Here is an 11231-nt window from a genome sequence, read left to right as displayed (position 1 = left end):
TGTAGTTACACACACACACACACACACACACACACACACACACACACACTCTCTTAGCCGGGCGTGGTGGCGGGCGCCCGTAGTCCCAGCTACTCGGCAGGCTGAGGCAGGAGAATGGCCTGAACCCGGGAGGCAGAGCTTGCAATGATCCCAGATGGCGCCACTGCACTCCAGCCTGGGTGACAAAGCAAGCCTCCTTCTCAAAAAAAAAAAATAAAGAACAAATCATATGAAACAAAAAAATAGCAGTTCTAACATGAATGTGAATCTGTATTTAATGGCAACTACACTTAGGTGTTTATGAGAGAATATTAAAATTTCATAAATTTACATTGAACGCTTAAGAAAAGAAACATATTGGCACAAAACTCTTTGAACCATGAAAAGTCCACTTTATTCAATATTTATGTGGAAATTATTCTGGCATAACTTCATTCTACACTGCTACAACAGGAAACTATAGGAACATAAGGACAAAATGCCAACATTTAACTGCAGCCTTTCCTGGGAAACATAATATGTTTAAAAAGCCTTTAGAGACAAAGAAGAGTCTATTTAATTTATGGCATGAAAAGAAATGTGACAACAAAGCATTTTGTAGTCATGGTTATCAGTCTTTGAAAAAGTTCTTAATAGGATTTGGGTTTATTTTAATTAATGAAAATAAAATATGAATAATTTATTGAACTCAGTATATTATAGCAGTGGGAACTTCTCATAAATTATTCTCAGATAATTTTCACAAGCTAATCAAAAAAGACATAATTCTGTTTATTATGAAAAATGGGATCCAAGGTTTCGAGAGAACTTTCGTGTCTTGCTATTGTTTCTAAAGTCTCCCTCCAGACCATCTCATTTCTGAGTCACAGACTTTCCTAAATAACAAGTGCAGCCAAATATGTTATCACTTCAGGGTCATTTTTGTTTGTTTGTTTTCTCCCTTTCTCTCTCTCTTTTTTTGTATCCTTATACCCGGCAGCAGTTTCTTTGAAAATTTGGACCAGAAGGTGCATAACAAGTTGTTCTGCAGAAGTTCTTATCTGATATTCTTAGGGAGCTATCCTGCATGTAATCTTCATTTTTTTTTCTCTACCATCATGTAGGCATACTCAGTGTAGACTACCACAATCCTGGATACCTCTCTGCTTAGATTTACAATCTCTGCTAAGATTTGCCACTGCAGAAAGTGTAGTAGTTTCACTACATATGAAAAAAAAGACTGCCTTCTAACTGCGTACTTATTTCTAGCTTCTAGATTGCACATTTACAGTGTTTGCAAAAGCAATAACTATTCTTACCGGTAGGAGATGAATTACACACTCCTTCTTCTTCTATAATAAGAGTTATCTACCTTCTGGTCAAAGTGCTTCCTTAAGGCACTTCGAAGCTCATCTGCTGGCAGGCATGAAGCGTGCTGTTCCCCTGAGCCTTCACGAACTGGATCTACTCAAGACAAAACAGTCTCTGCTTCATTATATTCAGAAATTCAGGCTTGCCATGAGGCTGTTTAGTGTTCTGAAACACAAATGCTGGCAAATCAAAAATTCTCCCAAACACGTATCTACCAATTTTTGCTCCTTAAATAGGAACAGTATTTTCTCATATCCTTAGATTAGCGGAGTTAAAAAGATGCCCCAAACATTGAGTCCCATTATTTTAAGCTTGAAGTTTTATAATTATAGCTTTATCCTTGCCCCATGAGAGACGCATTCTCTATCAAGCCATTCAAGCAAGGATCAGTTTTCAGTTTAGATAAAACTACAAAATGAATAAATTCACTTCTGACATTTAATTAATGCCTTTCTTTACTCTCTCCTACCCCTACACTCCACCCCTTATAGTACTTGCCTCCTCTCATTCTCCCCATCTCCAGCCCAAATCCAGATGACTTCTGCTATATTAAAGTTTGCTTTCAGGAAAAGATCTGAAATCCGTAAGCGGTTTCATACTAAATATTAGCACACTTCAGTGGTAGAACATTGATTTGCTGAAGTCTGGGGTTGATTTCCTAGCCCCTAAAATCACATTCTAACTGTGACTACCTGTTCTTTCTATAAGTTTAACATAGATTTAGGGTGAGACTTATCTTTTTATATAAACGAAAATATGTGGGAGAATGCTTTCTTTGTTTCTTTCTTTTTTTTTTTTTTTTTTTTTTTTGAGACAGAGTCTTGCTCTTTCACCCAGGCTGGAGTGCAGTGGCGTGATCTCGGCTCACTACAAGCTCCGCCTCCGGGGTTCAAGCGATTCTCCTGCCTCAGCCTCCCAAGTAGCTGGGACTACAGGCACTCACTACTATATCCGGCTAATTTTTTGTATTTTTAGTGGAGATGAGGTTTCACCATGTTAGCCAGGATGGTCTCGATTTCCTGACCTCGTGATCCGCCCACCTCGGCCTCCCAAAGTTCTGGGATTACAGGCATGAGCCACCGCACCCAGCCAAGAATGTTTCTTTCATACGTGAGCACATAGGGTATTTCATGTATTAGCATTAATGTTCCTTATCAAATATGCAATCAGGGGCTCTCTATAGAATCAATTTCAATAAAACAGTTAAGCAATTTTTTAATGGAGTAGGCATTGATTATAATTTTCTCCTCTTCTGACTTTTCAATTCTTCCCAATTAGCCAGTGATAAGAAACTGGAAAGAAAATTTCAACTTGTTTACCATTCACTTGTTTTTTTTAACCTACTGTAGTTTGGAAGGATTAAATTTTAGGCTAGCTGATTCATTTCACAAAAAAATTTATAAAATTTATAATTCATTTCGCACAAAAAAAGTTTTAATAAAAAATATTTCCCTTTGTATTTGAGCTCAACTTAATTCCCAATTGGCCCTGAAATGTGAGAATTGTTTTCCTAAAATATTGATGGATGTCAGAAGGCCACAAGAAGTGAGACCTCATCTTTTTTGCTCTATGAGAACATCAATCTTTCTATTTCTGTGAAAAATAAGGAAAGGTAGGTGGACTCTGGTGATTTCCTGATGTTGAAGTTAATAAAAAGCTCCATTCAAAACTACGATATTCGGCACAATTAATCTTCCCTGTTAATATAAACAGAAGAAAGAGTAAACTATTTGACCTCAAAGCTCTGGTTTAATTTCTAGCAAGTACGATTACTTCGGTTCACAATTTAAAAAATAAAAGCTTTAGATTTCTATTCCAAGCCATTACTTGATAAATCATTCATTAAAGAACATGAATGCACAAAACAAAAATAAACTTTTTTTAAAAATTTGGTAAGTGTCAGTGTTCTAGGATGTGCTGGCCATTCTTTGTGGAGGTCCTCAGAACCACCCTCTACTCTTCCAGCCCCAGTGTCACCCTTCCTGCCCGAGTGTCACCCTTCCTGCTCGAGTGTCACCCTGCTCCCCTCCCAGCTGACTTCCAGTTGGTTTTGGCTAATGAGAGACACCCACAGAAACAGTAAGGTTTCAGAAGTCAGAGCTCAAAAAGTTTCTTCCCTACTCACTCCTGTTTCCAGGTTCTGACAAGAAATTCTTTTACTTCTATGACTGTGGCTCCTGCCAGACCTTTGTGTTCCCCGGCTGCTGCCTTCTGGGGATCTGGCAGCAACCGTTCCTCCCTCTGCGCCTCTGCTGTAGGTAGTAAAGGCTTTCTGCTAGTGCTTGTCTTTGGTTGCCACAATGTCACCTGGTGGGTCCCTTCACTTTTCTTTTCAGCCTGTCCCTTTAAACTATCTGAGCAAATCATGCTTTCTTTCTGGGCCTTGACTAATGCAGTAGTGCATTTTAAAAATCTGACTAATATCACATTGCATTGCTTAGAAAAATATCATAAGAAAAATAATTCTTTGAGAAGTAGCATATTTGTGAAAGTAGATCTATTTAGGAATTAAAATGCTATTAGATTGGCAGGCAAATGTTATATTTTTGTATTCTCACTCTATTTTCTAGAACTGAAAACTAAGTTCTAGCTTAGACTGCAATGCACACGGTATACTACAAAGAGAGATGATAAAATTGCAGGATGAGAGTATAAAGTACAAGGTAAAACCTTATTGAAACAAAATAAGCACAACTCTATGTACAGGTTGTATGTGTTTATATATAAGAGCCAAGGCCGGGTGTGATGGCTCACGCCTGTAATCTCAAGACTTTGGGAGGCCAAGGCGGGTGGATCACTTGAGCTCAGGAAGTTCGAGACCAGCCTGGGCAACATGGAAAAACCTTGTCCCTACCAAAAATACAAAAACTTAGCCGGGTGTGGTGGCACTCACTTGTTCTCCCAGCTTCTCAGGAGGCTGAGGCACAAGAATTGCTTGAACCTGGGAGGCAGAGGTTGCAGTGAGCGAAGATCACACCACTACTGCACTCCAGTCTAGGCGACAGAGCGAGACTCTGTCTCAAAAAAAAAAAAGAAGAAGAAGAGCCAAAACAAGGATACATAAGGATACATACCAGCCTGTCAGCCTGTTTTGTATCATTGGTTACCTCAGTGGGGTTGGGGTGATGGTAGTGGCAATTATTAACATTTTCTTTATACAATTCTTTTAAAAATGTTCCTTTTGTAATTCAAAATATTCAAGAACAAATTTCAAAAGAGTCTGTCTTAACAAACATTTACATTCTTATAATCCAGAAGCTAGTCATCAAACACACCTCAGTATCATCATTTGTTCCAATATAAATATACTCACTTCCTAAATATGTGCTATTGCAAAGTAGATCTTATTCCTTTCTTATTCTGGTTGAATCATACAACCATTATCCAGATTGAAATAAAAAATATAATTGTATTTATTATCCATGTTAAGGTTAAATAGAAGGTAAGAAGTTTCAAAGTTTAAATTGCATTATCATGGAAAGTAGGGAAGAAAGGAAATAAAGCAGCAACACATAAAACATTTATATTTGTGATATTCGATATTTTTTCTGGGACATCCAGTGTTCTAGTTACATCGGCCATCTCGAATTCATGTCTTCATTTGTTCAGTAAGTGTGTAGTGTGTGATGATTGTGACGGATGCTTCTCTACTAGGCAAAGTAATTTTTAGAGCCTCACTACTCTTAGTCTGCAAAGTTCATTGCCAGCATTATCACCACAGCAAGTGTCTATGCTGATTTAAATAATAACCATATAGCAGCAATTATAGCCACATAAAATGCATTTCAAGACACACATTTATGTTTAAGGACTTCAAGTCCCCTAACCAAACAACTTAAGTAGAATAAACCTAAATAAGTTTTAAGTCAAAAGCAGGGGAATCAAAACAATTACAAGCCTCCTGTCTTAGAAGAAAATGCTGATGCTTATTGGCTTAACCATATAAAATAGTGTATATACATTTACTAGACATGAACAATTTGGAACAAATTTTGAGTGTACCTATAAGTGTGTAAAATGTATATTTTATGTATTGGGAATAATATTCATAAATATATTCCTCCAATGTTGTAAAAAATGCATGCACCCTCACTACGCTAGTGATTTTACAGTTTAATGAAGCCATTTTGTTTTAATTGCAAATGTCTACCACCGTAGAAGTTTCTTGGCCTTTCTCCATTAAGCCTAACACTTTGAACACCCAAGTTCACTTTTTTTTTTTTTTGTCTTGAGACGGAGTCTGGCTCTGTCGCCAAGCTGGAGTGCAGGGTGCAATGTTGGCTTGCTGCAACCTCTGCCTCCCGGGTTCAAGCAATTCTCCTGCCTCAGCCTCCCGAGTAGCTGGGACTACAGGCAGGCACCACCACGCCCGGTTAATTTTTTGTATTTTAATAGAGACAGGGTTTCACCGTGTTGGCCAGGATGGGCTCCATCTCCTGACCTCTTGGCCTCCTCCGCCTCCCAAAGTGCTGAGATTACAGGCATGAGCCACTGCACCCGGCCAAGTTCACATTTTTAAAGACTCCATCTGATGCCTGACAAATTGGTATAATAATAGATTGACATTTGTTGTTTTACTCTAGGTCCAATTTAGAAAATGATTTCCATTTTCTCTCTTTCTGTCTCACTGAAGGCAACTGATCTGTCAATCAAAACTTTAGATTTATAATTTTTTCTGTAATAAAAGACGTGCTATTTACAGAGTTCTTGTGCAAAAGTAGTTTAAGTGAACCCAATTAATAATTCAAGAATGACTTTGTAAGATTCTTCATCTATTACATTTGAATTCATTTTACATTTTACATCTATTACATTTGAATTCATTTTAATGAAAAAGCCTTTCAAAGTTGTCTTTCTAAAGGGAAGATTAATACACTATTTCTTAGAGATACCATCTAAAAAAGTATCTTTCTTTCTTTTTTCTTTTTTGGAAACTCGCGGTGGTGGTAATGTGAGTGAGTTTGTCAATCTTTGCCCCTACTGTGAATTTGAGAAGCAGAGGAAGAGAAAAAGAGAAAGACCCCCCCCCCCGCCCCCTGCCTCCGCCCCTCCCTCTAGCACACAGTAGGCGCGCAAGGAGTGCAGTGTTAGCTGCTGCTGGACTGAGCTCCTCATCCTACACTTGCAGGGGTTGCTCTTTTGGACAGAAAGCTGGAATAAAACGTAAATTTTAGACTTCCACCAAGGCCAGGACTAGGGTGAAGGGACTAACGCACTAGTCTCAGGAGCAACTGTTAAGTAACGCTAATCCTGAATGAATGAAATAGTTTTAAAATTGAATGTAATCGCAAAGAAAAAAAAACCCATGATAGACAAAATATTAAAACTTTAAATAAAGGCTTGCACTCGCACAACCCAGGCTCACCGGCCTCTCCCTGCTCCTGGCCCGGTTTCCCAGCTTGGTTCTCTACAAGTCAGAATTCCTAGCAAAATCAAAGTGTGCGCGCGTCTGCCCAAGTACACGCCGCAGAGTTATTTCTGCCCCATCTTCCCTATTTGAACTCAAACAGGACAGCATTTTCCTGGGTGCAGCCCCTGCGTTGGGTGAACAGCGCAGTGATAAAGCCTGGCGTTCTCCACCTGCAGGCGGAGGCTGACGGCGCGGTCTTTGGCGCGAGTCCGTGCACCGCGGCCGCCCCGCCCCGGTGGGAGAGAGGGACGGAGGAAGCTGCCGGTATAACGGGAGGAGAGCGCCAGGCGGAGCTGGGGCGTCCCTCCCGCTCGCTTCTTGACTCGCGTTGCTGCCGGCCGCCTCCCGCGCCTAGTGTCCGGGACGCGCCTGAACCTGCCGCCTCCGTGCCTGGGGTGGCGCCGCGCGGCCCCGAGCGCTCCAGAAAGCTGCGGCGCGAGTCCGCGGGGCCGACCTCGGAGACGCAGCTGGGGCCGGGCGCGGCTTGGCGGGAGGGTCTGCAGCGCCGAGGGAGGCTGCTGGTGCGTGAGGAAGAGAGCTAGAGACTGGACAGGGGAGGCAGAGCAGCGTCAGAGCCGCGCAGGGGACGGGAGTGAGAGCAGGAGCGACGCAGAGCGGCCGTCGCCGTGCCCGGGTCTCAGGGCGCCTGGCTGAAGTGAGCATGGCTTCAGTGGCCTGGGCCGTCCTCAAGGTGCTGCTGCTTCTCCCCACTCAGACTTGGAGCCCCGTGGGAGCAGGAAATCCACGTAAGTACAGCAAATGGTTTAAAACTTGCGCTAGGCTGTCTGGAAAACTTTGTTTTTTTTTTTTTATTATCGGTAATATTTGGAAGTGGAATTGCAGAACATGCTCCTGAACATGAAGAACCTTAAAAAAAATTTGGAATTGCAACCCGAAAAAGACGATTTTGTTTACAATAGACTTTCCTCTTGTGGGGGAGTCTAAGATATACCATGCATGTTTTGACTTTTTAATCGATGTACTTGAATATTCATTGAGAAAGTGGACGTTTCTGTAAAACCTGAAAAGCATCTTAATAAGAGATTAGCGTGCAAATGCTGTCATTTATTCCTTTTTAGGATTGTAATATTTTGTAGGAATTAAGTCTAACAGGGAAAAAACTGGCAGACATTACATCATACTGCATCAACTTAGATGTTAGCAGCTTACAGTTTTGCCGACCTTGGCAGCTTCAGAGTTAAAATGCTAATTAACTTCCATGCAGTATAGGGACAGAGCGCCTGTAGGTGAAACTAAATTAATAACCTGTCCTAACTACTAAGGGAATAACACTTGAACACCCCTGTCAGGGGCTTCGTTTCTCATAGTAGAAAGTTCTTGCTTAAAGACAAAACTCAGCCAGTCATTTAGGTGATCTTGAAAATGATTCCTCTCTGGATGCTAATATTTTACATTATTTAATTTGCCATCAGGTTCCCTGTTTTTTATTTTCCTTAATTTGGTAAACACCTAGGAAGCCTTTATTTCTAGAATGGGCTATGATTCTAATGTAATGATGATATTCCAGACAGATGAGCAAAACATAATGTACCCATATTTTATCACACATAAAAATGTTTACACAACATTGCACATTTTTTTTTTGGCTTGGAGTAAATCTCTAGCAGAGAGTTGTCTTTCTTTCTTGATTAATCAAACCATGAGATTAGAATTTTTAAAATGTCTTCCTCTTCCTTCTCAAATCACTTTTATTTTTCTTTCAGTGGCATCTCCCCGCTGTCAGCCTCAGCCCTCTCCTACCAAAATCTCTTTCGAAATAAGTTCCAATAAACGCCAGTGGCCATGTTTGGAAATTTAGATTATTGCAGGATAACCAAGGGTAGCTTTCAGCAGTTCTCCTAAGCTGTCATGAAAAGTTTGCCGTAGCTCAGTGCTGTTCTGCCCGCGGGCTCAAGGGTGGGTTGGTTCTTCACACACAGGGCACGCACATGGGTTCATGAACTCACTGTGCATCATGATTCAGTTGCGCCTCAGTTAATCCTACACTTGGTGTGCCCTTCCAAAAAACAAGCTCCGGATTCCTTTGGTCAGATGCTGTACCGTGTTTCAGATTCAACTTTAATCTGCTTTTGTGAGAAGGCTTTGTGAATAAAACGTTGTTACTTAAATCAAAATCCTTGGGTCTTGTAATGGAAACTGCCGTTTGGCTTAAACAAACATATAAATGAGCTACTTATAGAAAGGCATGCTAGAGTAATTGACCAATCAACTGGCAAAATACAACAACAAAAAAAGTCACTAGAGGTCACTCTTACTATTGAATAAACAGGGCTTCAAAAAGACCTTCCTGGAGAAAAGCAAAGCAATGAAATCTGAGTGAGACCCTGCCACCACCTTTCCTGTTTTTGTTGCATAGTTGTGATTACTTTTTATTCTCAGGATTAGTTGTATTGGTAGTTATTTTGCTTGGAATCCAGTGGAAGGATTACAAAGCCCATAGAAATTAAGCTCTTCTCGTTTATAGTGAACATTCTTTTTGGAGGAGGGGAGGGCAGGGACAGATATTCCAAATGGACTCAGCACCAGACGGGACTCTCGCGAGTTGCTGAGTGACACGTGAAATTTCAATACTACTACTGTGGGTGTTTTCAGTCTTCTTTCGTTGATGAAACTTAGTATCCTCATATCTAATAAATTTTACTAATTTTAAATTACCTTTTAGATCAAGTAATTCTTCCAGATAAAACTATGTAACTGTAATAATTATACCACCTTCAATACCAAGAAGAAAGTCAATAAGGACATCTAAAAGTTTCCTTCTCATGTAGACACCATGAGTTGCTCACGTTATTCACAGCTGGTTTTCGAGAAGCACATTGGCCACCCACGAAGGCAACCTGTTGATGATGGCATGAAATGGCTCTTCATGGGAAGAGCTCTATAGGCCGGGCACAGTGGCTCGCGTCTGTAATCCCAGCACTTTGGGAGGCCGAGGTGGGTGGATCACCTGAGGTCAGGAGTTGGAGACCAGCTTGGCCACCATGGTGAAACCCTGTCTCTACTAAAAATACAAAAATTAGCCGGGCGTGGTGGCAGGCATCTGTAATCCCAGCTTCTCGGGAGGCTGAGGCAGGAGAATCGCTTGAACCTGGGAGATGGAGGTTGCAGTGAGCCGAGATCCCACCATAGCACTCCAGCCTGGGCAACAAGAGGAAAACACAAAACTCTGTCTCAAAAAAAAAAAGCTTTCTAAACATTTGGCATTTTGGGGATTATGTGCAGTTTATCTGAATGTTATTTGACCCGACAAATACATGGGAAAGCTTTGTTAGGAAGATTCTGCATGAAGGGAAATATTTTCCTAACTTCAGTGCCCATAGACTTGCAGTGAGTGAAAGGTCACTTACTGCTCTCATTGAGTCCCTGAAAACAGCAGGAAGCATCAAGAGAAAGATTGAACGCTGGGCACTGATCCCAGGGATACACAAACAAATGGCTGGGCAGATTTTGCAGAAATTCCTGTAACTGGTAAAATGCTGAGTAATAGCCTTTGATGTAACTTTTCAGTGGGTTAATTTATTCATTACTTAGCCTAAAACACTTTTAATTTTAATTGCCTCAATTTTTTCCCCTAAATGGTTATGTTTTGCAAGTTCGCCAGCCAGCCTGGGGAAAGAAGGGTAAGCCTACTATAGAGTGTGTGTGGGTTAGTTAGGAAACTCACTTAGATGTGAAATGTGTCAGGAAAGAGATCTCACAGAGTGTAGGAATAATTATTTTTACAGATGTTTCATTTTGGACCTTTTAGTAATACCATTTAAAGAGAGATTCTGCAGATGAGTAACAGACTCTTAATTTTAGTGTCAAATGGTACTCTATAAAAAATGGAGTTCAGGCCAGGCGCGGTGGCTCACACCTGTAATCCCAGCACTTTGGGAGGCTGAGGTGGGTGGATCAGTTGAGGTCGGGAGTTCGAAACCAGGCTGGACAACACGGTGAAACCCCGTCTCTACTAAAAATATGAAAAAATTTCAGGGCATGGTGGCAGGTGCCTGTGAGGAGGCAGTGAGCTGAGATCGTGCCACTGCACTCCAGCCTGGGTGACAGAGTGAGACTCTGTCTCAAAAAAAAAACCAAAAAATGTAGTTCAGTTGCCTTTATTCATTTTCACCAAACTCTATACAAACAGTACGGAGCATAAGTAGCCCATGGAAGTGATAATCAATTCCAAGACATTGGTTTGATCATGAAAAAAGAAAAATCAAATTACTTGGCGTTCTTCTTCCTCTTCCTCTCCCCTTCTCTTTTTGAACAATTCAGTCCAAGGTCATTCAGTTCAGCTTAGGCATCCATGCTGGGTAGTGGGGAGGCCCAGGACCGTGGCAGAGCATTCAGAAACCAGCAGGGTAAGGAAAGCATCCACAGTGTAGCAAGGGTGGGGACCTGGAGAGACAGGAGACAGCACTGGTGGTGACCTATAGCAAGTTGTCAGAGGTTGAGTGGAGTGAGG

The 11231-nt window shown here is 41.1% G+C and overlaps 1 protein-coding gene across 2 annotated transcripts in view; it reads left to right on the top strand.

Annotated features, from left to right (window-relative positions):
• The first annotated feature begins 7318 nt into the window (after positions 1 to 7318).
• Positions 7319 to 11231, top strand: part of CNTNAP3 (contactin associated protein family member 3) — a 223458-nt gene continuing 219545 nt past the window's right edge. For both annotated transcript variants that reach the window (NM_001393379.1, NM_033655.5), the window contains exon 1: positions 7319 to 7506. In NM_001393379.1, coding sequence (NP_001380308.1) covers positions 7422 to 7506 — 85 coding nt within the window. In that variant the 5' untranslated portion in view covers positions 7319 to 7421. The remainder of the gene's footprint in view (positions 7507 to 11231) is intronic.

The sequence above is a fragment of the Homo sapiens genome, chromosome 9 (genome assembly GCF_000001405.40).
Source record: "Homo sapiens chromosome 9, GRCh38.p14 Primary Assembly".
Classification (NCBI taxonomy): domain Eukaryota; kingdom Metazoa; phylum Chordata; class Mammalia; order Primates; family Hominidae; genus Homo; species Homo sapiens.
The sequence above is the reverse complement of the archived record's forward strand: the minus strand, read 5'-3'. Positions and strand labels throughout refer to the sequence as shown.